Source organism: Homo sapiens, chromosome 7 (assembly GCF_000001405.40).
Source record: "Homo sapiens chromosome 7, GRCh38.p14 Primary Assembly".
Lineage (NCBI taxonomy): Eukaryota > Metazoa > Chordata > Mammalia > Primates > Hominidae > Homo > Homo sapiens.
The window spans coordinates 149,867,526-149,893,167 of record NC_000007.14 but is presented as its reverse complement, the minus strand read 5'-3'; the positions used below and the strand labels follow the sequence as shown (position 1 = coordinate 149,893,167).

The window sequence follows — 25,642 nt, the reverse complement described above, 5'->3', positions numbered from 1 at the left end:
GGAGAGCTCGAGAGTGTGAGCAGGAGTTAGAAATTTGAATGGAAAATGGAATCTTTGTGATGCCCTCCACATTTCATTAGCTGTTAAATTCTGGAGTGAAGTTTGATATGATTATTTACTGCTAAGTATATTCCCAAATATTTAAGGTTAAGATCTTATTAAAATAATGAATTATAAAGCCATTAATATTTGGAATTTTTATGTAATAGTTATTTGATTATGGTACTTTTTTTGGCTACAGATATTAACCAATAACATTCTAATTTATCCTTTTAATGGGATAAATTTTAACGGCTTTTTTTCTTCCTGTAACAAGACTAAAAGTACATTTTAAGGCTATGTGATGTAGAGTCTTATTATAGACATTATTTTTCAGTTTACTCTCCTTTTCTGTATTGTACAGAATTTTGTCCCCTTCCATATTGTATTTTAAATTTGGAACCTACTGATGTATAGGCATTTCACTTACTATCTTGAGGGATTTTTCCAGATAAAACTGAGAAATTTTGCAATGGACCTTCTGTCAGTATAAAAGTAGAGCAGCTCATTTCCTTTGTCCCATTCTGAAAATCATACCAGAATAGAATAACCTGTTTCTGTATTATTTTATGTACTCATTGACATTGTCTTTTCTGTGAGCACCCTTCACCCCACATGGAGCCCTAACAATGAAAATTTACTTGTGTGTATATTAGGATATTATCCCTTTTGATCATTTAAATAGATATGGATAGTGATAGAAATCTGTGTGTGTGTGTGTTTTTTTAAGGTATTGCCATCAGAGAGTCAGCAAAGGTAGTTGACCAAGCCCAAAGGAGAGTGTTGAGGGGAGTTGATGACCTTGACTTTTTCATAGGAGATGAAGCCATCGATAAACCTACATATGCTACAAAGGTAAATTTCCGACAGGTGTCTGCTTCTCTAAGTGTAGAGCAGTAGGATGAGTAATGCAAAATGGTCATCTAGAAGTTGTATTTGCGAGTTGTAGAATGTGTTTCTATTCTTATGTTTGAATTCTTATGTTTGAATAGAGGTGGTGGTGATGGTTGGTTTTGAATGGGGGTATTTTTGATTGGAGAATTAAGGGAATTAACAGATCCCTGGAATGCAGAATAGACTCAGGAAACACCAGGTCACACATGAAAGCAAGATCCCCTCCCCTGGAAAATTGTTGACAGGTTGACTAACCTGTCAGATGAGGGAAAATTGCAGATTGGTTAATTAAAAAGAAACACTAACGTTATTTAAGCAGACTTTTTTTTTTTTAAAGCTCCAGATCCAATTGTATGATAATTAGCTGCAGTTTTCTATCGGTTCCTCATTGTATTTTTTGTTGTTTTTTTAGAGATAGGTCTTACTCTGTCATCCAGGCTGGAGTGCTGTGATGCCGTCTTGGCTCACTGCAGCCTCGACCTCCTGAGCTCAAGCAATCCTCTCACCTCAACTTCCCAAGTAGGTGGGACTACAGGCACGCACCACCATGCCTGGCTGATTTTTTAATTTTTTGTAGAGACAGTGTCTTGCTATGTTGCCCAGGCTGGTCTCGAACTCCTGGGCTCGGGTGAGCCTCCTGCCTTGGCCTCCCAAAGCGTTGGATTAGAGGCGTGAGCCACTGTGCCTGGCCTGCCTCCGTGTCATTGTTAAGGTGATTCTTTGTTTGTGGAAATGAGTGGAGGAGAATATGAACAATAATGTAACTTAATCTTTTTTTTCCAAATGCTGTTGTTTCTTTACAAGAATTAACAACAACTGCAATGAGAAGGAGACCTTTATTCTTAATAATACAGTTTCTTCTGTGCCACTGTTAAACTGTTGCTCTTATTGTTGCGAACTGAGGCTTGACAACTCTGGTGTCTCTTCCTCCAGTGGCCGATACGACATGGAATCATTGAAGACTGGGATCTTATGGAAAGGTTCATGGAGCAAGTGGTTTTTAAATATCTTCGAGCTGAACCTGAGGACCATTATTTTTTAATGGTGAGTAACTGGAACTAAGAGGAATATATTCCTGTAAATTCCAAATTGCTTAGATTTTAAACTGAAGATATTCTTTTCTAGGGCGTTTTAAATTTCTTCTAAAGATATGTGCATGAATCAGGCTGCTTTTTTGAAAATAAAGCTCAATAAAAACGTTCAGAACAAAAAGGGGCTTGTTAGCTCACCAAACAGGAAGCCCAAGTGAGGCAGCTCTAGGGCTGTTGTTTTAGCAGCTCAGTGATGGAATTGCACATGCAGCCTAGGGCACTAGCTGGAGCTCTTCTGTTTGTTCCCCCTGGGTCCAGGGTGGCTGCCAAATTCCTAGATCACCTCTTTGGACATTTCTATACAGAGATAGAAGATTTCCCTTGCACTTTTTAAGAATTTAGAGACCCTTTCCCAGAAACCTTCCCAGCACATTTGCCCCATCTGCCTATGCCTAACCTGGTTAGAGCAATAGGAATGGATTTACTGTGACTGGTTTAGATTCTTGAAGACTTTCTCCTTGGTGTGGGGACCAGGAGAACTTGTCTGATGTTCTGGACCCTGGAGGAGGGTAAGTAGCTAAACAGGCCTCCAAAAGCAAGGACAATAGAAGGAGGAATGGATTTGGATAAACCAACTGCCTACTTTAGTTTTCTTGAGACATAGCAAGATGATTGTAATTATTGCCACTTATAGCAGAGGAAACCAGGTCAAGATGTTGTTTTTTTCTAGGGTTTAAATGTTACTGTAAAATAAAACTGAACTGAGTTATGGGCCCTAATTATATACTTAACTGATTTCATTCAAATGAAATGAAACATCACAGATAAATGAGAAGAAATATCTCCTCGTTCTCTAGTGGTTCTACTCAACATTACATGTTTTCTTCCGTGAGATGCTCTTTTCATCAAGTTAAAATTAATTATATGTACAGAATGCTTGCTTTATAGAGGGCAGTTTCATGTGACGTAAGCTGCGTATTAAACCTGCATAATTTAGGTTTGGATTTTTTTTCATGCAAGTACATTGTCAAATGGTCCCAGATCCAATTATAAAATTCTTTCTGATGTTAGGATATGAAGTGTTTTTAAGAATTATCTGGTATAAGAAATATTTGAACTATAAGGCTAATAGTTATTGGAATAACTATTAAATATGGAATAACTCTATAACGAATATATGTATTTAATGTATATTAAAGCCAGTCTTTGATTTTTTTTCCCTGGCTGTGTCTTCACAGCTGAAATTGCCAAGTATGGCCACTGCGTTTCACAGGCCACTCTGTTTTCTCTGTACATCCACAGTGGTTTATTTTATTTTACTGTTTTGCTCTGTATTTTATTTTTCTAGAAATGGGATCTTGCTCTGTTGTCCAGGTTAGAGTTCTGTGGCACAATCCTAGCTCACTGCAGCCTCGGACTCTGGACTCAGTTGATCCTCCCGCTTCAACCTCCTGAGTAGCTCGGACCACAGGTAGAAGCCACTAGCCTGGCTAATTTTTAAAAATTTTTTGTGGAGATGGGGTGGGGTTGCCTCCATTTGCACCCCTACTTACATTTCCCCCATCCTCTCCAGCCTTTTGTGCTGGCAGACATAACTTGCCCATCTGATGAGTATGAAATGTCTCATTGTGACTTTAATGTACATTTCCCTGATTACTAATGGGGCTAAGTATATTTTTCACCTACTGACTGGCCTCTCAAGTTTCCCTCCTTGTGAGTTGCTGGGAATATACATGCCAATTTTTCAACTGTATTTTTTAGATTAATTTGTCAGTGTTGTTTATATAATCTGGATGCCAATCTTTCATAAATATGTACCACAGCGATCTTTTCCCAGCCTGATTTAGAAAATTTTTCCCTTTTCTGATGTCAGGAAGTCATTTTCTTATGATTTACTTTAAACACTTTGACATTTTGCTCTTTGGGGTTAGGTCTTTGACCTTCCTGAAATTTGTTTCTGTGCATGATCTAAGGTAGGGCTGCAGTTCTTCTTTTGTGAAGTAAGAGTTCAAATTTGCCCACTTTTAAAACTTAGGTTTGTCATGTTGTTTAAGTATGAGTTCTTTATATATTCAAGATACAAGTCTTGACAGATATATGCTTTACAAATAGTTTCTTCCAGTTTGTGGTTTGCTTTTCATTTTTTTAACAATGGTTTTTTTTTAATTTCTTTTTATTATTTTTTATTTTTTTTTCAGGTGGAGTTTCACTCTTGTCGCCCAGGCTGGAGTGCAGTGGCGTGATCTCAGCTCACTGCAACCTCCGCCTCCCAGGTTCAAGCGATTCTCCTGCCTCAGCCTCCCAAGTAGCTGGGATTACAGGCGCTCACCACCACGTCCGGCTACTTTTTGTATTTTTAGTAGAGACGGGGTTTCACCACGTTGGCCAGACTGTTCTCGAACTCCTGACCTCAGGTGATCCACCCGCCTTGGCCTCCCAAAGTGCTGGGATTACAGGTGTGAGCCACCACGCCCAGCAACAATGGTTTTGAAGAGCAGAAGGAGAAATGAGGCTGTCTGATCTTGCCCTCTCTCCCCACTTCCTCCTTCCTTCCCTGTTCCTGGCACTAGATTCACTAGGATTAGGGGAACTTGTAGCCAAGAATATATAAAGAACTTCTATAAATCAATAGGGAAAAGACCAAAAAAAGTCATAGAAAAGCAAGCCAATGATTTGAGTAGGCAAATTAGAGAAGTGGAAACCGAAATGTCCAATAAACAGGTGAAGAGTCAAGCTTAGCAGCTATTAGGGAAATGCAAGTTAAAACCAACTACCATCCAGGTGCTGTGGCTCATGCCACAAGGTTGGTTGAGTGTAAATTGAAACAATCATTTTGGAGAGAAATTTGGCAATCTCTTGTAATATTAAAAGCTCTTTGACTCCTAGATATATATCCTAGAGAAGTTCCAGCAAATGTGCACAAAGACATATAAAAGATGCTTACTATTTGTTAATCTGGAAGTAACACAGGGGTCATTAATAGGGGGGTGGACAAAGAAAGTGTATGTCACTAATGAACTAGATCTGTATGTAACAGTATTGTATCAGTCAGGTGTGCCGCAATAATGCTGCATGACAAAACACCCTAAAACTGACTTATAACAACAGGCATTTAATTTTGGCTAGTATGTCTGCATCAGCTGGCCTGTATTAGTCTGTTTTCACACTGGTGATAAAGACACACCTGAAACTGGGGGGAAAAAAAAAGATTTAATTGGTCTTACAGTTCCACAAGGTTGAGGAGGTCTCAGAATCATGGCAGGAGGCAAAAGGCACTTCTTACATGGCAGCGGCAAGAGAAAAATGAAGAAGCAAAAGCAGAAATCCCTGATAAATCCAACAGATCTCTTGAGACGTATTCACTATCACAAGAATAGCATGGGAAAGACCAGCCCCCATGATTCAATTACCTCCCCTGGTCCCTCCCACAACACAGGGGAATTCTGGGAGATACAATTCAAGTTGAGATTTGGGTGGGGGCACAGCCAAATCATATCATGGGGTTTGGCCAGTCTAGCCCAGGATTGGCTCGACTTGGCTCGGGTCATTTTGTGATTAGTGTGCTCCTCACATTTCACCTTTTCTGGGCCCAGTAGGCCATCCAGGACATGTGCAAGCCAGCGACACTATGGGCAGCTCTGGGAGCCAGTTTATATACCAACTCCTGATGGTACGTCCAGCCTGCTGCCCAGGAAGGAAGCCAGTGCTGGCACCTGGAAGGCGCCTGGCGTGTATGGGAGCACCAAGAGCATGGGGAGATGCACTGCAGCAGGCAGCACAGACCTACAGTCTGTTATCACAGTCTCGCTCTCTGTAATAAGCAGGTTAATAAGGTAATAAGGAGGTTACATTGCTGTTTGAATTTGCTTTCCTTGACTAAGCATCTCTTCATGCTCAAAAGTCTTTTACATGTCTTCTTCTGTGAATTCTTTTGTGTCATTTGCTCATTTATCTACTTGTATGGTTTTTGCCTTGAAGAAAATGTAAATTTTAACTTAGTTAAATGTATAAAGTTTTATCTTCATAGCCTCTGGATTTCTTTTTTTCTTTCTTCCCCTGAGATAGACCTTCCCTATTACATGATAATTTTAAAAATTCTCCAATTTTTTTCTAGTACATTTATAGTTTCTTTCCATTTTGTATGTGTTTTGCTGCTGGGACTCTGGACACTGTTCATTGCCCTACTCATCTCTTCCTTATGTATTTGGTTTGCTATGTTTATCATATTCATTTTTTTTTTTTTTTTGAGTCAGTCTCGCTCTGTCGCCCAGGCCAGAATGCAGGAGCACAATCTCTGCTCACTGTAGCCTCAACCTCCTGGGCTCAAGTATTTCCCCTACCTCGCCTTCCTGAGTAGCTGGGACTACAGGCTCACACCTCTACACACACTCGACTACTTTTTGTATTTTTAGTGGAGACAGGGTTTCACTATGACGCCCAGCCTGGTCTCGAACTCCTGGGCTCAAGGGATCCGCCCGCCTTGGCTTCCCAAAATGCTAGGATTACAGGTGTGAGAAACTGTGTCTGGCTGTTTATCATATTCTTAATTCCTGATTGTAAATTTATTTCTGGACTTATTTTCTCCCCTTGAGTCGTCTGTGTGTTCATGTGCCAGCCCCACTGTTTGCATTTCTGTAGCCTTGCAAATGGTATCTTTATCTTAGACTTTTTAGTATCTGGAGTGCCAGTGTCCCTCTCAATACTCTGCTTTTCCAGGAATATCTTGGTTATTTCTTACATGTTTGTTTTTCCCAGAGGGCTTTAGAAACAGCATGCCAATTCTAGTATCTGCTTCCTCCCCCCGTCCTCCAAAAGCATTTGTGTTTTTACTGAGAAGATGCTACATTTATACATTAAAGACATTCGACAGGAAACACAAAAATGCAGATACATAAGCAGGCCCCAGGTATTTTTCATAGTACTTATTTGTCAGGTCCTGTCTCACATATAAAAGCACACAGGGCACTTGCCACCTTCTCTTCCGCAAAGTGCATCAGTGTGGTGACCATGACAGGAACAGAAAAGGGGAAGGAAGCTGAGATCCTGGCAGAATAAAATGTGGCATGGAATTAAATAGTTAATATGTAAATATAATGAAATTAATAGCATTTATCGACCAGTTGAGCACTTTAGTCCATTATCTCAGTTCATATGCACAACTTCTATGAGGCAGGTGCTACTAATATTATCCTGATTCATCAATAAAAATGAAGCTCAGAAAGATTAAGTCACTTTCACTCAACTAATCATCATCAGAGCTGGAATTTGATCCAGTTGTAGACTCTGCACTCTCAACCTCCAAGCTGAGCTGAGCTGCTAAGTAAAGTTAAACTGCTTCTGGGAGTCTGGGTAGAGAGAAAAAAGAGAAATATGTTTGCTGAATCAATTGCTGCCGGCCAAGGGCCAGGCCTTTGCACCTGGCATCACAGCTGACTGAAGCTGCAGAATCCGCAGGAATTCAGAGCCTGGGGCTCCTGCTGTGTGGGACACAGAATGGGAAGATGAAGTCACCACCCCAGTGTGTCCCAGGTCTTTGTCAGAGGACAAAATGCTGACATTTCAGGAGGGAGGAAGACCCTTGCTGCTATCATGGCCCTTAATCCTGAGGTTAGGGAGCCAAGGCGGAGGTCCTGTAGGGGTGAGAACATCCATCCCAACTGTGTCCGCCCACCCTGCTCAGGAAGCCGCCTGCGGGGAGAACACAAAGTTCCACTGGGCTCGGGGCAGTGCCGGAGCTCCCTGCCCCCGGCCTCCTGGGAAGCACCAGCTCGCAGAGGGACCAGCTCATGCTGGGATCAGTGCCTGCTCTGATACCTGGAAGTCCCTGGCGGCTTGGGGGCTTACTTCTTGCTGGGGTGTGGTCTCCTGGTCAGAAGCTCCAGTCCTGCTGGGGAAGCCAGCTGAAGGCACTCGGCTCCCCTCAGGGCCTCCCAGGCTCCTTTCCCGAGGGTCTGGGTTGATAACTAAGTTTGGAAATCCCTTGAGGGGTTGAGGTTCTAGGGCAGTGGTTTCAATGGTAGGGGTGTTTCCCTAGGGAACATTTCAAAATGGCTGGAGACATTTATAGTTGTCATGGCCAGGAGCAGGGAGAGGGGTTCTGCTAGCATCTGGTGGGTAAAGGGAGGCGGTACTGCTAAGCATCATAGGATGCAAAGAACAGTGCCCTCCCGTGCTCCCCCTCCCCCACAAAAAAACCCAAAGAATTATCTAGCCCAAATTGTCAACAGTGTCAGGGCTTGGACATCCTGTCTTCGAGGGCTTCAGTTAGCACCAAAACCCTTGGGAGCTGGTTTAAAATGTGGAGTCTAGAATCCCCTAAACCCATAGGGTGCAGTGTGAGACCCAGGAACCTGTACTTTCAAGCATTCCAGATTATTCTGTTACAGGTAGACCATACTCCACATTGACAAGTAGCACTGCAGGCTGCACCCGGCGCATGATTCCCAAACTCTGGCCCTGTGTGGGTCTGCCTGGGGCAGAGGCAGCTGGAGAGCTGGCTAAAGCCCCAGCCTCCTTCATCCCTGGAGGTTCTCTTGTAATAGACATGGCTTCCATCCCAGAATTCCATGGGTTGTTTTGTTTGGCTTAAGTGATTCCTTTTTTTTTTTTAAGTTGACAAAAATTGCATACATGTAGGTATATACCATGTTTGGAAATGTGTATACATTGTGAAATGGCTAAATTGAGCTAATAACAAATGCATTACCTCACTTTTCATTTTGTGAAATCTACTCTCATCAATTTCCAGCATACAACACACTGTTGAGCACTTTGTCACCATGGGCTGCACACTAGGTCTCTTGGACTTATTCCTCTTGTCTAACTGAAATTCTCTATCTTTTGACCAACATTTCCCCAATGAGAGATTCGTATTTAGATTTGCTAACCCAGTATGTGGCCTAAATCCACACAGGACTCTGGTCATCTGCCCTCATCTTCCAGTGCTACAAGTCAAGCAAAACTGTGGTGCCTGCCAGCTGATTTCATTCCCGGAAGCCCAAAGCTTTACCAGCAGGTCACTTCCAGCACACAGATAAGGAGATTAGCCACGCCTCTCACTTCACCTCCAGCTCCTCACTGTTCCAGAATTACCAACTATCCTATTTCTGTTCAAAGCAGCCAAAATTAACTGAGGGCTGCTCTTTGAGGGCTTCTGCAGGGAGCGTGGACCCTATGGCCAGCAGGAGCAGCACCTCCCTCCCTCCCTCCCTCCACTAAAAACCTGTGGCGTCCCTGTTACAGAATGGAATGTGCTAGATCTCTCAGGGATGCTGAGGTACGAAACAGTTCGGGAAGACAGAACCAGAAGACGGTTCGGGAAGCCTGGGATCAGAGTGGAGAACGACAGAGCTCTTCAGCATGGTCCTTTGGTTTCCGAAGCAGTGCCTGGCACCTCATGATGGCTCAATGCTCGTCATTCATTGCCACTATGAAATATTCCTGAAGGGCGTTTCCTCCAGGCTGTGGTACTGTCTGGAGAATTATCGTGGCTCCCTGCTCAAGCCTATGACTCTAGGGCCACCATCTCTGACCTCGGCACCATCCACCCCCAGCAATGCGCAGATTGGACGAGGGCTCGCTAGAGACTTCATCCTGCACGCAGGCGCTGCCCTCTGTTGGCCATACTCTTTGTGTGCAGCTTAACTTTTCTTGGTTACCTTTACTTTTTTTTCTCAGTGGCTTTGTCCTCTGTCTCAGCGTGGCCTCCAAGGCCACTTCCTGCTCTGCCACTTGGTATGGTTCAGGGCTGCCCTGCTCTCAGTCACGGCCCATTTTTAGAGCTTTTTTGCATCGTGTAGGTCCGTGAGCATCTGTGTCAGAGGCTGATATTTACTGATGTGCCTCCCACATTGGGGATGGTGTTGGGGGCACGGGTGGGGTTTGAAACTGATAACTCTAACAGAAGTTGGGTACATAGTGACTGTGTCCAAACCCCTGCACCAAGAGACTGGACCAACCCTAGCATGGCTTCTGGCAGCCCAAAGCGGCATCCCTGGGACCACCTGGCCACCCTTTGAGTTCCTGTCTGAAAAAGCTCAAGGCCGTCAAAATCATTTAGTGTTTGTTCCTACCAACACCTGACAACAGGCCTCTGACCACCCCCTCACTTTCTTAGAGCATTTACGTTAAAAACACTTAGAGTCGTACCTCCTTCCCTTGTCCCTTTGAGATGTACATGCATGTGTGTCCAGGAGTGTCTTTCTCAAGAGCCTGAGAGCCAGTCCTTTGAAATGGCATCATCAGGAAGGATGGGGCCTGTCTCCCAGGCTCTGGGGGAGGCCAGAACCTAACTTCCATCACTGCCAGCTGGCACACACAGCTGGCCCGGCCACAATAACACAGACAGCCCTTTGTAATTTTTCACTCCCATGATTCCTGAGCCCTGGAATGCCCTTTCCCGACTCCTACGTTCTCCCATTAAACTGTCCAGTCCCCCTGCACAGATCTGAATGGAGCTCAGCTTCTCCCCTGTCAGTGGTTAATGAATAAGGTCTGTTTTCGTAGCTTTAACTAAGGTCCAGCTTAGTTTATCTTTGACAGACCTACTTACCCTGCAGGTTCCCACCTCGGGCCTGGAGGGAAAGCCTCTGGGAGGAACACGGTCCTCACCAAAGGGTGGGAGACCAGATCGTGCCAGGGAGTGGAGTGGACATGAGCTCTGGGACCCTCTCCTCTCTCCCGGAATGGCTGCACAGGAAGGAAGGATGGAAGATGTGAGAAAGGCCACCCTGCCTGGGAAGGAGCTACCAGCCCTCAGCAGTCCAGAGGCTGCCCAGAGAGCAGCGAGCAGCTCTCCAGGACTCCACCTCCCAGGCCCAGAGGATGCCACCCAGGGGGCTCAGTGAGAATTCAGCCACAGCCACACACATCCCGGGAGAGTGTCTAAAGATGCCACCAATCCAATATCACAGAAGGCAAGAACCCAAAGAGCAGAAGCCGAGACAAGGAAGTAGCCATTTTGGATACATGCCCCCCACCCCAATCCTGGGCCAACGTGGATCTTCAGCATCCTGAACCTGAAGCCCCCATGGTGGGCCTGTGGCGGGCTGGGTGTGGCTTCAGAGGTGCAGCGGCAGGAACTGGCAGAGTGGTTCCCCCAGGCCCAGGGCTGACCCACAGCGACATGGGAAAATGGGCCCAGTAGGTCCCTCCTTGTTTAGCTCCCTTTGGTCTTTCCAGGTCCAGCTTCACTGGGTCCACGGGGTCCCCATCCTGAGGTCACTGTGTTTCTCACCCCCCACCTGCCCACTCGCTCCCAGCCCACTGCAGTCTGACTTTACTGCCCATCACCAAAGATGCCAGCTGACCTTGACTTCTTGGGGGTAGAGGACAATGGGGGTCTGTGTTACCTCAACCACTCTCTCCTGTTGAACCTCTCATCCTCCTGAGTGACACTCACCTGGTTGTCTTCCGGCTACCTGCAACCTCCCGGCATCCTCCACAGGCCACCTTCACCCACCCACCCCGTGAACTCACACTCCTTGGGGTTCTCTTCTGGGTTTTTCTCACTCTGAACCCCCTGAGCAACCTGCACCCCTCAGGGATCACCGGTTATTTATGCCGATGGCTCCAACTCTGCCTCCTGCAGCCTCATCTTCCTCCTGACCATCCGCCCCACCGCCCAGCCAGCCACTACCTACACTTCCACGGGGTGCCCTGGACACACACGACTCACCAGGAAACAAAGGAACACCTCAGCTCCCACAGCCACTCTCAGACCTGCCCCTGCTGCACTCCCCACCACGGGCAGCCTCGGTCTCTATGGGTCACAGCCAAGCAGCTCCCCCCTCGCTTCTCTGTCCTCACCACTTCCACCAGGGGCCCTAATAAAGATGTCAAACCAGCCTGCCGTCCACTGTGCAGCTTGTAGAGATAGATAATGCTAGAAATCCAGTTGGCCATGTCACGGCCCTGCTTTAAATCCCTTTCACGGCTCCCATGGCCCTTGGGATCCATCCAAGCTCCTCAGCTGGCTTTCCGCCCTCAGTGCTCTGGTGCCTCCATTGTGCGTCTTCCAGTCCCGCCCCACCCTCCTGTCCCTCCAGGGAAGTTCTTTCAGCTCTGCCCTGGGCTACAGGCTGGGCTGGAGGGCTGGGCTCCCTCTGCCCACTTCCCCACTGGACCTGCAGCGAGATGTGCTGGCAGATCCCAGCCCTAGGCTATTTCATGAAGGAGGCTTTGAAGCCTCTGGCGACCTGCTTCACTGCAGGAGTCCTGCACTGTGTCCTCTGGGGCCCAGACGAGTGGTGCTCAAAGCTGCACTTGAACAAGTCCTCGGTCTTCCTGCCAGGCCTGGTTCTCCGCCGAATCCGGGCAGTCAGCAGGGGGCCGGATTTTCCTCCAGATCTCAGGAAAGTAGTCCTGGATATCTGTGTTCATAACTGCAGCTCCCAGAATCCTTCCCTGCTCCCCTCCCCAGACCCACCCACTGGAGAAACAAGAATCAGGTGGGCGGGGCAGGGGACCTGCACACAGGCAGAGGCCAGGGCTTTGTCACCAAACAGTAATCTTTTCATCACCATTATTTATTATATATGAACCAGGTTTTCAGCACAAGTCACACTCAACACCCTTACCCAACAGGAGGGGCGACGGAGGCTCAGAGAGGGAGTGTAGGGGGAGGATGTCAATGGGAGGCCCCAGCCTGAGCCCTGAGCAGCTGGCCAGCCAGGAACTGGCATGTGAGTGAGAGGCATCCTATTCTCCTGCTGCTCCAAAGACAATGCCCGCTGAACAGGATGGCAGGCCACATCAGCAGTCCATACAGAAGTGAGGCTGTCGTTTCTTCCCCTGGAGCACCAGTGAGGACAGGCCCCAGCTGGGAGCCAGGCAAGGTGGGTGAGCTCTGTGCTAACCACACTGGGAGCTCGGGTAAGCGTGAGGGCAAGGCTGGAGAGGTCCGGGACCCCTGCGTGTTGCTTCCCACTCCTGCCAGGCTGGCACGCCCCCATTCTTCACCATCCCTAGCACAGAGCCCAGGGCCAGGGGGCAGAGGGCGGGGCTGGCTCAGGAGCAGGGCTGGCCCGTCCCATAGCGCCACTCACATTGCCCCTTCCCCTCTCTCATCCCAGCTCTGGTCACTTAGATGCTGCCATGAGAGGCTCTGAAATCCACCCCCACTGCAGCCAAAAGCCCAAGTCAGAGCCAAACCTGCACTGTGCTCGGACTGACAGGCTGGGGTCGGGGGAGGGAAGACATCCACTGAGGGAGGTCCAGGTGGCAGGAGGCGGAACAGGATACTCTGAGGAGACACAGCAAAGGGTGCCAACATCTAGGACTGAGGCCATCTGGACCCACATGACTATGTTGCTTTTTGTGTGTGAATGTTTCTCTGCTTCAACATTTTCAGAAATTTCACATCTAGACGTGTCAGAAAATTAACAATTCCATGCCAGAGAAAAGGCCTTGCCTATAACCCAATAGAGGCCCCCCCAGTTCCCAGCAGGATGGTGGCAGAGCTGCTGACTGGGCACTGACTCCCCCGCCTGGGCCGGAGCACCCTCTCCATGAGGACACGTGTCCTCCTCAGGATGGGCTGAGTCCTGGCATCTGCCCCGTCTGTAAAGGGAAAGACCCCACCCATACCAGCTCCCCAGCAGCATCTCCTTGGGAAAGAGGGCAAACTCCAGAGCAGTGCGGGTATTGGAGCAGGACATCCCCTCGGCCGCTGCTGTGCCCAGGGCTCCCCAGGGCCCGGGCTGGCTGGGAAGACTGGGAAGACTTCCAGGAACCAGGCAGGCCCTGCGGGTCCGGGTCTCTGGGTGCCAGCAGGAGGGAGCTGGTGACCAGACATAGTTGTGTGGGGGAGGGTCCGGACGAAGGGGTTGTCAGGGACAGTGGAGCCACAGTCATTCCGAGAGCTGGGCACCTGAAAAGCACATCACATGGAAGGGTCCCGGCCTTGCAGTGGAGACTCCACTGCCCCCAACCCTCCCTGGAAAGCCCCCTCACCCCTGCCCAGATAGTCCTCAGCTTACCCTTTCCCTCCCTCCGTCCAGGTTAGGGCCCAGGTTAGGGTCTTGCCTTGGGGTGAAGCGCTGTGAGGATGGGGGAGGGGGGTGCTGGGAGCATGGTTCCCATTTCATCCCTGGCGGCCAACACAGGCCAGGCAGGAAGGGAGTTGATGTTCAGTCCCCTCCCCACCTTTTCTTTTCATGAAATAAATAGATGCCTGAATCCCAACAAGAACTCTAACCAAATGAAATCAAAACCAAACCCAGAAGTGCCATACCAACCCCATGTGCCTGCCGGAGTGTGGATGGCTCCCTGGGCCCTTCGTCACCCTGGGAACACAGGCCCTGCCATCTGCTGGGTTGGCCGCATCCAAAATAATATGACCGAGGCCTGCCCTGGGTGTGGGAAAGCCTTGTCTTTCCCCTCTTCCCCACCCACACCCCTCGCCCACACAGTACCTGGGTCGGGGGCGGCGGGTCACTCCCACAGGAAGCGCACGTACCAGATGGTCTCATTCTTCAGCTGGGGCCCGAACAGGGGGTTCAGCTGCGCCAGGATGGCGATGAGCCAGCTGCCAGGGACAGCAAAGCATGGTGAGCCTGGCACAGGAGGGTCCTCCCACACCCAGGGGAGGCCTCGGTCATATTATTTTGGATGCGGCCAACCCAGCAGATGGCAGGGCCTGTGTTCCCAGGGTGAAGAAGGGCCCAGGGAGCCATCCACACTCCGGCAGGCACATGGGGTTGGTATGGCACTTCTGGGTTTGGTTTTGGTTTCATTTGATGTTCGGTAGATCTGCAGGATCCCCGAGTTGGGGCTGAACCTGGGGTTAGAGAAGAGGGGAGGCAGCCTCAGGGGCGCTTTGGGAGCGACTCCCAGCTGTGCCCTCACACACCTCTGTCCAGGCTCCCCCGGCTCCATGCACCAGGGAGCGAACAGGGCAGGCCTGGCGGGCAGCACGTCAGAATCACCTCCTCTTATGAGAGAAGGAACTACCCCAAGACGTGAGGAGCTGACGGGTCAGGGGCCTCCTGTTCAGGCTGCTGCCAGGCCACCTCTGTTCTTCAGGCCAGAAAACCCTCAGGGACCTGCCCCACCTGTCATCACTGCTGGGCGTGTGGGTGGCTGTCTGGCCCCATCATTCATGACAAAGCTCCCAACTTCATTTGCCACAGTAGTTAGTAGGTCCCCACGCTCTGTCAGTGCCTGACCTGGAAGGGCCCCCCACGACCACATCCACACTGCTTTGTCTGTTTCTGCAGGAAGGATCGGTATTTTCCCTCTTTGAATCCCTCACAGTAGGTAGGAGGACCTAACGCCCAGGAAGCCATCAGAAATTGTTACCTCCTTTACATCAGCATTCTCTCCGAGTTTATGTTTTGTAAATATAATTTCTAGGCGTAACATTTTCTTAGAATGACCCCACCTTTCTACCTGTATGCATCCAATTTGCAGTGTGTTTTCTGTTTCCCGTATGTTGATTCAGTTGGTATTTGGGATTACCCCGCATCTTGTGTAGGCCCCGTCTCCCCCACCCTCCCAGCCACCAAACACAAGCCCCTCTGAGGCCCTGCCATGGGCAGATGAGGATCTTTTCTCAAGCCCTGAAGGACCTAGAAATAGCATTAGAGAAAGGACCTCAGAGAATGCTCTGTCCAGGAAGAATTTTGAAAAAAAAAAAAAAAGTGGGTTTAAGTTAAACCATGTGTTAATAGTCATCATTATTTCTAACAAGTTTAGTTTTTGTCAGTAGGAGGGCTTATACATTTCTGGGTGCAGTGGCGTGTACCTGTAATCCTAGCTACTCAGGAGGCTGAGGTGGAAGGATCACTTAAGCCAAGGAGTTCAAGCACAGCCTTAGCAACATGGCAAGACCCTGTCCTACAGAAAATTTAAAAATCAGCCAGGCATGGTGGCACATGCCTGTGGTCAAAGCTAGGCTGAGGTGGGAGGATGGCTTGAGCCCAGAAGGTTGAGGCTGCAGTGAGCTATGATCCCACCACTGCACTCTAGCCTGGGCAACAGAGTAAGACCCTGTCAATTATCTAATTAGTTAACAGCCGGGTGCAATGGTGTGCACCTGTCATCCCAGCTCCTTGGGGAGGCTGAGGCAGAAGGATCATTTGAGCCCAGGAGTTTGAGACCATACTGGCCTGGTCTCAAGACCCCATTTCAATCAATCAATCAATAAAACATAAGGTAAATTAAGAGAATTGGTTAATAGGAATAAAGAATCCATGACCTAATCAGATAAAACAATTTTAACTATGATAACATCAAATCTTAAATCAATGAAGTAAATTTTTTGAAAGTGGGTTTTGTCCTATGTATTTTGAAAAATTTGGCAACCCTGGAAAATATTCCAGTTGTTTCAAAAGAATCTGTTACCTCTTAAAGAATGAGCATCTCATCACTTTACCTGTCCTGTTTTGATTATTCTGAATTAAGAACACCCAACGATGCCAAGCTTAACCCATAAAAATAATGTACAAGACATAGGAAGATGGGAAACCCAACAGCCTTAATGCAGCTTGATTAACCATGAGACAGGCCTCCCAACAAACTAGAACTTGAACTTATCTCTTGGTTGGCAGCCAGGATCATCTAAACATGGAGCAATGTAACCGCAGGTTTGGGATGGATGCGGGGGCAGGGTCTTTTTCTTTTTCCTTTTAAAAAATTTTTTTAATAAAGAGGGATTGGCTATTGTGAATGGCAGTTTTAGCAAGAGACTAAACAATAGACACTGAGGATCTGCAAACTGATTTCCTCACACTCTCCAGGTATTCAAGTCCCTTGGAATGTTCTTCTATATCCCCAGGGTACCTATTCCAAGTTTGATGACTTACTCTCACCTAGTGGTTCTTTTTTTAGAGTCGGAGTCTCACTCTGTTGCCCAGGCTGGAGTGCAGTGGTAAGATCTTGGCTCACCGCAACCTCCGTCTCCCGGGTTCAAGCGATTCTCCTGCCTCAGCCTCCTGAGTAGCTGGGACTACAGGCACGCGCCACCAGGCCTGGCTAATTTTTGTATTTTTAGTAGAGACGGAGTTTCACTATGTTGGCCAGACTGGTCTCGAACTCCTGACCTCGTGATCCACCCACCTCAGCCTCCCAAAGTGCTGGGATTACAGGCGTGAGCCGCCACGTCTGGCCTCTCACCTAGTGGTTCTAAGATGGCTGCATTCCAGTCACCTGGGGGCATTCATGAACAACAGGAATTCCCAAGTGCAGATCTCGAGAGTTGTAATTTCATGGGTGTAGGGTGCAGCCTGAAAACTGTGTTTGAACAATCACTCCAGGTGACCCAGTCAGGCACAGACAGCACTGAGGTGGCCTGCCTCCTTCCTTGCCCAGGTGAGAAAACTACAGCCCATGGGGGCCAGAACTCTGGGGGCAGAGCCAGATCCAGAGCCCAGGGTTCATGACTTCTGGCCCACTGCTCTCTTTCCCATTCCACACCACCTCCACTCCTGTTGTTTTATAGGTTCAGCCTTTCAAGAGGCATTTACTACCAGGACAGAAGGAAGAGCAGGCTAGGGTGAGGAGGAAAGGAGGGAGGACAAAGGAACTGGCTGACTTTGAGCTGGGGAGAGTAGTACTTACAAGAGGTAACAGCAGACGGCGGTGGCGACCAGCATGGTGATGATCACTCTGCAGCAGAAGAGGACACGGGTCAGAACAAATGCAGCCAGCACCTCACAAGGCCTGGCCAGGACCAGAGCAAGAAGAGCTCCTGGTGTGAGCTCTTTTCCATTGGCCTTCCTGATGCCTCCTGGACACAGGAGGCTGAGTTCTACTCAGGGTAAGAATAGCAAGGCAGAAAATAAAAACTGAAAGTGTCACCTCACAGAGAGGCCAACCTTGACCACATCCAAGTTGCCTTAAGAATCCTTCCCTTCATTTCCCTTCTCTACCACCCAATATTGCTCCATCTTAATGCAGACGTGTTGTGGAAAGGCACTGCACAGAGCTGCATTTGTGGCAACCCAACAGGGAGTGGTCTGTAGAATTCAAAATTCATGGAGCAAGGGGAAGGAAAACAATAGGCTAGAAGACAGGGCAAGAAGCAGGCAGACTGTGAGCCAGTTCTGAGGCCCAGTGAGTTGTTACAAAGAGAACAGGGACTAGCCACTTTGCGTGTACTCAGAGAAGACCAGAGACAGATGCTTCAAGTGCAGCAAAAGAAATTTCAGTCAAACTGAAGCAAGAACTCACCAAGAATAGCAGGAGACGCAAGACACGAAAATGGTTTACAAAGTGAAGCTGTGGGATCCCAAACCCTGCCTGTCTTTAAGAACAAAGGCAGCACTCACATGTCCAAACGGCCTTTGGGCAAAGCTAACTCTAATCCAAACGAGGCCCTTGATCTTTGATCTAAAGCACTGCAAGCTGGTGCTGGACACAGGAGCACGCGATCCCTTTTTCAACATTACTAAGCAGGTTGTGCCAGTCCTGGCTGGGCACTGAGTAGACAATGGTGAACTGGACAAACTCCAGCCCCTGGGAACATGCAGTCAAGGGAAGGGTGCTTTGTAACTGAAGATAATATGAAGCAGAAACTGGTGAATGGCGCAGCAATCTGCTAGAGGACCTTCGAAAAATAACGCCAGCTAAACTTATCCCATACCTACAAAGTGTCACGCACTGGTAGGTGTTTTAAATGCGTTACCGCAGGTCATCCTCACAGCAGCCTTTTAAGGCAGGAGTCGACATTATCTCCATTTTACCCATGAAGAAACTGAGACTTGATATTGGCTCTAGGTCACACAGCTAGCAAGGAGTGGAGAAACTGCGTCAGTGCCCACTTGTGCCCTTTACTGGCTGCAGGAGGGGTGACAGACATCTCCAATGTCACTCTCCTCTTTACCTTCTGGATATGCCCTCTCGCCCCACCTCCTGCCTGTTCCCGGCTGTCAGAGACCCAGGTGCAGAGAGACCTCAGAGGTGGCGTCCGGGGTCCTGGCGTCCCTCCTGCGGACGCTCGCTGCAGAGCAGGAAGCCGCCGCCCCGGGGCGGAGGGGCGAGCCGGGCCAGGGGGCCGGGGTGGAGAGGTCTGCAGGGCCTGCGCGCTTTCCTTACCCGCGGTTGGGTCCCTTCGGCACGAACCAGGGCCCGGCGATGCCGACGAGGCCCCAGAACGTGGTGAAGATGATGACCGGGAGGGCGAATGAGTGCGCCGTCATGGCCGGGCGCAGGATGCCCAGGCAGGATGCAGGGCCGAGCAGCGGGCGCTGCAGGTGCGCGGGTCCCCAGCCGGGCAGCGCGCTGAGCATGCGCAACAGGAGTCGAGCACCCGAAGCGATCAGCCGGGCCGGGCCGCGCACGCGCATCTCCTGATCCAGCCCGCCGCGCTGTCACTCAGGACCTGCCTAGGAGCCCACTCGCTGATTGGCTGAGCAGGGCCGCGGACAGAGAGAAATGCCGAGGAATAGGGGCGCGGCCGCCCGGTTTCGGCGATGGGTTATAGGGTCCGCGTCAGCCCCGCGCCCGCACAGCCAACGTCACGCCGCATTCTTATTTCCAAAGACCCCTGGAGCTTGGGGTCCCACCCCAGCGGTCTTTCGGGGCGTCCCCTGCCCTTCACGCGCCGCGCCGGCTCGGCCCGAAGCGCCCTGCGGACCCGCAGCCTGGGCCGCCCCGAACCTGACGGCCCCGCGGGGGTCGGACGCGGGAGGAACGGCCTCGCTTTCAGAGACGCAGCGGGAGGGCGGTCCCCGCTGTCCCTCTGGCCGGGTCCTCAGCACGCGTTCTCCTCACTCCCAGGACTAGCGAGCGGCGGGCGCGGACCGGGGCCTGGGGTCGGAGGCGGCGCAGCCAGAAAGGCCCCAGCGGCGCTGAGACGTTTGGGGGAAGGCGGGGGCTTCGCGTTTCGATGGCGGGAAGCGGAATGAGGTTGGACCGGCCGGGCCGGCGTTCAGGGACCCGGCGGGAGGCGGAGGGCTGGCGTCCTCGCGGACATCCATCTGCAGCGAACCAGGCAGAGGCTTTGGGATTAGATCCTTGACTCCTTGCGTCAGTAGTTAAGGTTTGTTTAAATATAAAATGGGATGGCCCTTCTTACAAGGTTGCTGGAGGATTAAATGAATAGGCATGTGGAAAGCACCTAGTATAATAAGGCTCGGTAGTTTCTTCCATCAGGGCTGGAAGAGACCACGGAGCCTGCTTTCCTCCTTCGGCGTTTGGATCTCACATATCCCTTCTTCTCTGGCGATCAAAAATCCCTATCTTCTGTAGAGATCCCTTTTACAGATCAGTGGCCTCCAGGCGGTATCTCTAGCAACAAGTGCTACCCCAAGCGGCCGGCCACACATATTCCCTGGCTTCATGACATAGGGAGGCGCAGTCCCCACGTGATGCAGAAGGGAAATGTGCCTGTCCTTGCACTGACCCCGTCAGCCATGTGTGCTCCTGGCTGTTTTCTGAAATCAAGAACCAGTTACATCCGCCCTTCTCCGTTCTCTAGTTGAAACCTCCCTATCCATCCTTCCAACATTCATGTAAGTTGGAGGTGGGCGTGGGATGACACCAAACTGTTAGGTATAAAATACCATCCTAGCCTTCGAGGGGTTTCTAAAGTAGTTGAGGAGTGATATATTCTGGTAAAATCATAATGCTGGACAGCGCAGTTCTAAGAGCCCTGTGATCAAAGTAGCCAAATGCCCATTATGAGAATTCAGAGGGTGGAGAAATCCAGGAAGACTCCCTGGAGGAGGTGAGATTTTAGCTGGATTGTAAACAATGGTTATTTTTCTCATCCAGAGTGTGTACATTGTTGAGAACACTGGCCTAGGATAAGGGTGCACTTGGCATCCAGGAGATAGAGTTAAGAGTATGTCCATACAGGCCTTCAAAAAATCACCACGAGGGCTGAGCGCAGTGGCTCACACCTGTAATCCCAGCACTATGGGAGGCAGAGGCGGGCGGATCACGAGGTCAGGAGATCGAGACCATCCTGGCTAACACGGTGAAACCCCGTCTCTACTAAAAATATAAAAAAATTAGCTGGGCATGGTGGCGGGCACCTGTAGTCCTAGCTACTTTGGAGGCTGAAAGGAGAATGGCGTGAACCCGGGAGGCAGAGCTTGCACTTGCAGTGAGCCGAGATTGTGCCCCTGCACTCCAGCCTGGGGGACAGAGTGAGACTCCGTCTCAAAAAAAAAAAAAAAAAAAAAATCACCACGAAAGTTCTATAGCTCAAAAAAGACGGACTTTTTGAATTTTGTTCTGGAAAAAAAAAAATCCTCTGTAGAAAATGACAGCTGTAAAGTGAAATGTATTTCCTTCTTTGCCTCTGCTCCTTTGTCTTGGCTTTGGCCAGAACCAAAAACATTGCTGAGTCTGAGCAGCCACTCATATTAGCAGCCTGCAGCTCTTACTCTTTTCCTTTAATGTCTTTGATGTTTCATTTCTGTCCTAATTTGCATGTGATTGCCTGTGTCATTTGTTTGGCAGCTTTGTGATGGTCTGAGGTCCATGAAGGGATTAAAACCAGGAACTGGCTCCTTCTCCAACCACTAAAGCCTCATCTGGGCCCACAAGCCCTGGCTGTTCCCTGGAGCGTGACTGGAAGATGTGAGCAGCTTTGTGCTGGAGCCCCATTTCCATGGGTAAACTGTTCACCTGATCAAACAGCTCCCCAGAGTTCCACAGTACCACATATTTATTTTCTAGAACTTTGTTTTTAGCTGAAAGGGATCTTAGAGGCTAAGGCAATCCTATCACTTTACAGGTGATAAAACTGAGGCCCAGAGAAGTGAAGTAACTTGCCTAGGCCCACACAGCTCATCAGTAAAAGAGCCAGAACACATGGCCGAGACTTCTCCCTAATCCAGCGTCTCCTCCACACTCCCAGCTCACCCCTAGGGTTTGTGCCCAGGCTGAGGACACTATTTTCAGAGGCACTAATGTGAGGCAAAGGGCATGTTACCAGACACAGCCCCGCCTACCCCGGTCCCCTGAGGTGGAGCTGTGCATTCCACTGGCTTCACGGTTCCCCTCTGCCCTGGCGGCTTCTGGTTGGTATTGGCGCCACCGACTGCTCTGCCATGGCTCCTCAGTGAGTGCTTTGGGTGTGATTGACAAGTTTCCATGACATCTCCCAGGGAGTGGGGTCCTGATGTTGGTGACATCTCTATCGTTCATCTTTTCATGGGGCTGATGAATTCCTAGAAAGGGTAGAAGGAGAAGGAGCCACTGAAAGAGGCTCTTTAAAACTTCCCTGAGTGTCCCCCAGTGCAAATGAACAGGAGCCCCAGGACACTTGAAGGCCCTAGGAAATCACACCTCAGAGCCACAGATGCATCCTAATGCTCTCTGCAGACGGGGCACGTGTCGGAGGTGAGAACAACAGCTCCAGATGTCTCTGTCTTTGCAAATAAGGCCTGTGACATTTAATGATGTAACCACCTACCTTCCACCCATTGTTCTGGTGGCCATGAGTAGAAGGAATTATACCAGGATGTGATAAGAAGGAATTAGGAGCTGGGAGTCTTGCTGGGTGAGGACCTTGGCCCCTTGCTTGCTTGCCATCTAATAGGGGCACTCCTGGCCTGTGGGGTCAGGGAGAACTAGACCCAGAGCATGGTTGTCTCTGTGACTAGTTGAGCCTGTTTCTCCTTCAAGGGCCCTGGCAGTGGGAAAACATATTATGACAATTGCACTGTTTTATCAGCCCTTGGCACTCCTGAAGTTGCCCTGAAATAAACATCCCTACCTGTATGCCAGGCCCTGCCTACTTCTGGAGCTCTCTTAGGTTTACAACCTACCCCCGCTGTCCCAAATTGATAGGGTGAGCCCAGGGCATTAAATGGGTGGTGCAAGTCAGGCTTCAGGACTGACACGGGTCTATGTGCGCTCAGTGTGGGTTGAGGGGCACTGGGCTGTCTTTCTCCCTACAGTGCATGCTGCTGCCAAACCAGAGATCACTTGTAGACTTGAAAGGGAACATGAGCTTTGGGTGAAGGATTCCCAGCCCCCAACAGAGGCCAAAAAGCTACCACCCAGCCAGGTAAGCCTTGATGGAACATCTCTTGCACAAAGATCACCATGTTCATTGAGCCTTTAGTGCCTCCTGGGCTCTGATCAACCCACGAATCAGTATCTCCGCAGCACTTCCTGTGGTTTGGATTCAGGTTTTTTACTTCTGTTTCCTGCCTTTATGATAGGAGTTTGGGTAACCTGTGAGAAACACAGCCACAGTGTAAACCTCTTGAGACAAGCTACACTGATGGGACAATCAGGGTGAGGGCAATCCGGCGCCGTGGCTATGTCAGCTCATGTGTGCTCTTTCAGGAGGACATGTCTCACAGACACAGATCTTCAGCTCTGACATGCTCGATCTCACAAGCCCTTTTCTGAAACCTCCATCATGTGCTTTCTGATTCTCTACAGGCAGAAGGAACATAAAGTATGCATTTTATGATACGACTCAGCTTGGAGGGATGAAGTAGAAGGTCCTCACTGCACCTCATGGCAGGCTGCTGACGGCAGATATTTTACCGGGCTCACTGAACTGGGCAGTCAGGGAAGGGTCGGCTCCTGCTCTGTCCAGCTGTCTTCATAAGGGACTCTGTGACACTTTTTATAAAAATGACTTTGATTTCTGCATAAGAAGGCTTCCCAAGCTTGCTGTCTAGCAGTGGCTGCTACAGGGAATTATTCACATGGCAGCAAGAGAGCCCTGGCTCCCTGGACCAGGACATTCCCTTTGTGTGTGTTGGAATGAGAGCAGGAGGAGTGCTGGTCAGAAGCCCCTCCCCAGGGCTCTGGGACTTCAGTGTTCTCAGACAAACTGGGCCGCTCCTCTGAGCTGGGATGCTGACCCACACTTGGCCCCGGCTCTGGCATCCACAGGACGCTGCCTTATCCGTCATCTCGCTGGGGCTGGGGGCTAGAGGCTGAGCAGGTCACACTGAACAAAAGAAGTGTGTCCCCATCACTAGGCTAACATCTGAGTTTCTTCCACAGTATTTGGTAACACAGTCAGAAACAAGACTGAAGATGATTCTGGAGGCAACTGGGAACCCCCCAGAACGATTCTGCAGGCTTCTGGGAAGCTGAAAAACCCCAAGGCCAGACTGGCCTCAGAATGCCTGAGTCCTTTTGATTCCACTGGAAAAGCCATCCATCTGTGCCAAGTGTGTGGAGAGCTTCAAGAGCCATATAGCCCTGGCCACCATGAGCACAGCCACGTGGGGGAGTAGTCCTGAAAGTGTCCTGGTGTGGCAAAGGCTTTCCACTAAGTGGACCTCAGATGGCACAGGAAGACCCTCCTGGGGATGTGGGAGGACACTGCCTAGTGGGTGAGGGGCCGCTCTTTCAGGTGTGCACACTAAATGCAGAGACAGCCTCTCCTGGCTGCCAAGAAGCCTGTGCATGATCCAGGACCACAAAACACTTGCAAACTCACTGCCCAGAGGCCCTGTGCCTGTCTGGAGTGTGCCCAGTGTGTCTGCGCCCCACAGCTTGTCCTGGCCCGCCAGCAGAGCCGCAGCACTGCAGGGCCCTTCTGTTGTGAGTGCCAGGGCCCTTGCTGGCTGCCTGAGCAAGGCAAAAGGTTCAAAACAGGAAGTCTCTGGGCAGCTATTCCCAGGTGCAGAGGGGAGCAGCGGCCACACAGGTGCCAGTGTGGCAGGAGCTGCAGTCAGAGGCAGCATCTCAAGAGCCCTGGGAGCAGGGGCCAGCCACGTGAAGCCCACGAGTGTCGCTGGCACAGGGAAGGGACACGAGGATCACACTGACCCAAGAGAAGGCCCACAGTGAGGAGGCCCCACCGAAGCATCCCCAGCAACAGGGACTGAGGCATCTGAGGCAGCCAGCCCACTCGGAAAGGCCTGCTGACTGCACTCCAGATGTCAAGAGCACCCTTGGGAAAAAGAAAGGCAGGAGTGCAGCACTTTCTAGAGCCTCAGCTCACTTCTCTCCTTCTAGCTCCAGCCGGAGTGATGGAAGAGGCTGCGCTGGGAGCTGCCTCCCTGGGAGCCTACCCTGCCCAGCCTGAGAGTGGAGGCTACCAGCATCACGCTTCCCCTAGTGAAATCCATCTGTCCTGAAGGGAACCCTGGGACGGGGTCAAGGAAACCCTGTTCACCCCCACCACGGGGTCAGGTCTTCACCAAAGGGAGGCCGCACGGATTCCCAGTCGCAAACCCAAAGCCTTGCTGCCTTTGCCTCTGTTTCCATAGTTGTTTCAATGTCTTTTTTAAAAATCACATACACTCGAGTAAGACTGAGTCTCCTCACCGAAGAGATCTGGCTGTATCCCGAGTCTCTGAAACCTTTGCTCCAGTCCCGTGGGAGCGTGCCGTCCCGAGGATGTGGAGCCGCAAGGGCTCGCCAGAGGGATCTCAGGAGCTAGGCCTCAAGGAGCGCTGTTGAGTGACAGGTCTGATGCAGTAGCTTTTACTATTGGTGGAAATCGATGTTTTTTCCTTGAAAGTCTACCTTTCTAAGTTCAGTAAACCAAATTAGATCATGTATGTGAAAGCACTTTGTAAACTATGCAGTACTCCAGAAAAGGCAGCCAAGCCCTTAATTATAACTCACCAAACAGCCAACTCTCATCTTTACCTTCTAACTGGCAAAAATGATTGAGCTCACTTTGAAGGACTAGAGAGGAAAGAAACTGAAAGACAAAAATCAGGTGAATACACAGGCACTTCCCCTGCCCACCTCTGTTCCTGGCCCTGTCCCCTCGTGAGTGAGAGCAGAGCTCGTTCTGTCAG

At 49.9% G+C, this 25,642-nt stretch overlaps 2 protein-coding genes and 1 long non-coding RNA gene across 35 annotated transcripts in view, besides 6 other annotated features; 2 read left to right on the top strand and 1 right to left on the bottom strand.

The window, feature by feature from the left end:
• ACTR3C (actin related protein 3C) overlaps window positions 1-11,808 on the top strand; it is a 442,186-nt gene extending 430,378 nt beyond the window's left edge. For 8 of the 21 annotated variants that reach the window (NR_147012.2, NR_147015.2, NR_147014.2 and 5 more), the window contains 3 exons: window positions 770-894; window positions 1,867-1,977; window positions 4,163-11,808. Coding sequence is in view for 8 of the 21 variants with exons in the window: in NM_001351028.2 (NP_001337957.1) it covers window positions 770-894; window positions 1,867-1,977; window positions 4,163-4,207 (281 nt within the window). In the remaining 13 variants the exon portion in view is untranslated. Of the gene's footprint in view, window positions 1-769; window positions 895-1,866; window positions 1,978-4,162 lie in introns of those variants that run through there. The other 13 variants (NR_147016.2, NR_147018.2, NR_147022.2 and 10 more) reach the window with 8 other exon arrangements.
• A 646-nt stretch (window positions 11,809-12,454) lies between these two features.
• Window positions 12,455-20,204, bottom strand: ATP6V0E2 (ATPase H+ transporting V0 subunit e2). 13 transcript variants are annotated; one of them, NR_110612.1, is made up of 5 exons: window positions 18,999-20,200; window positions 17,523-17,570; window positions 14,378-14,490; window positions 13,943-14,002; window positions 12,455-13,833 (listed from the first exon to the last, which is right to left on the bottom strand). NR_110612.1 is itself a non-coding variant. In NM_001367791.1 (5 exons), the coding sequence occupies exon 5, from the start codon at window positions 13,815-13,817 to the stop codon at window positions 13,491-13,493; it is 327 nt and encodes a 108-aa protein (NP_001354720.1). In that variant the 5' UTR covers window positions 13,818-13,833; window positions 14,378-14,490; window positions 17,523-17,570; window positions 18,135-18,207; window positions 18,999-20,204; the 3' UTR covers window positions 12,473-13,490. The 13 variants fall into 13 exon arrangements, 12 of the variants coding, with proteins under 12 accessions (NP_001354720.1, NP_001354721.1, NP_001354722.1 ...); NM_001367791.1 differs by lacking the exon at window positions 13,943-14,002 and adding an exon at window positions 18,135-18,207 and having other exon boundaries at window positions 12,473-13,833; window positions 18,999-20,204; NM_001367792.1 differs by lacking the exon at window positions 13,943-14,002 and having other exon boundaries at window positions 12,473-13,833; window positions 14,378-14,742; window positions 18,999-20,204.
• Window positions 18,432-19,400: an enhancer, noted in NCBI's record as "H3K4me1 hESC enhancer chr7:149570857-149571825 (GRCh37/hg19 assembly coordinates)". NCBI's record gives its function as "activates a minimal SCP1, AML or CMV promoter by ChIP-STARR-seq in primed H9 embryonic stem cells {active_cell/tissue: H9 hESC(primed)}" and the evidence as "EXISTENCE:reporter gene assay evidence [ECO:0000049][PMID:30033119]".
• Window positions 18,432-19,432: a biological region, named in NCBI's record as "H3K4me1 hESC enhancer GRCh37_chr7:149570857-149571825".
• Window positions 18,763-18,942: a silencer, noted in NCBI's record as "silent region_18772". NCBI's record gives its function as "represses an Ori minimal core promoter by ATAC-STARR-seq in GM12878 lymphoblastoid cells {active_cell/tissue: GM12878}" and the evidence as "EXISTENCE:reporter gene assay evidence [ECO:0000049][PMID:35858748]".
• Window positions 18,963-19,102: an enhancer, noted in NCBI's record as "active region_26819". NCBI's record gives its function as "activates an Ori minimal core promoter by ATAC-STARR-seq in GM12878 lymphoblastoid cells {active_cell/tissue: GM12878}" and the evidence as "EXISTENCE:reporter gene assay evidence [ECO:0000049][PMID:35858748]".
• On the top strand, window positions 19,306-25,474 carry ATP6V0E2-AS1 (ATP6V0E2 antisense RNA 1). The gene is made up of 4 exons (NR_027040.1): window positions 19,306-19,944; window positions 21,372-21,526; window positions 22,817-22,926; window positions 23,310-25,474. It is a non-coding gene; the product is annotated as an ATP6V0E2 antisense RNA 1 (long non-coding RNA).
• Window positions 19,353-19,432: a silencer, noted in NCBI's record as "silent region_18771". NCBI's record gives its function as "represses an Ori minimal core promoter by ATAC-STARR-seq in GM12878 lymphoblastoid cells {active_cell/tissue: GM12878}" and the evidence as "EXISTENCE:reporter gene assay evidence [ECO:0000049][PMID:35858748]".
• Window positions 19,463-19,672: a silencer, noted in NCBI's record as "silent region_18770". NCBI's record gives its function as "represses an Ori minimal core promoter by ATAC-STARR-seq in GM12878 lymphoblastoid cells {active_cell/tissue: GM12878}" and the evidence as "EXISTENCE:reporter gene assay evidence [ECO:0000049][PMID:35858748]".

Coding starts and splice junctions, on each gene's coding strand:
- ATP6V0E2 (NM_001289990.2), bottom strand. CDS start 19,102: ATGACGGCGCACTCATTCGCCCTCCCGGTCATCATCTTCACCACGTTC. Junction 17,571..18,998: donor CCGAAGGGACCCAACCGCGG/GTAAGGAAAGCG, acceptor CTTCTGCTGCAG/AGTGATCATCACCATGCTGG. Junction 14,491..17,522: donor GCCGTCTGCTGTTACCTCTT/GTAAGTACTACT, acceptor TGTCCCTGGCAG/CTGGCTCATCGCCATCCTGG.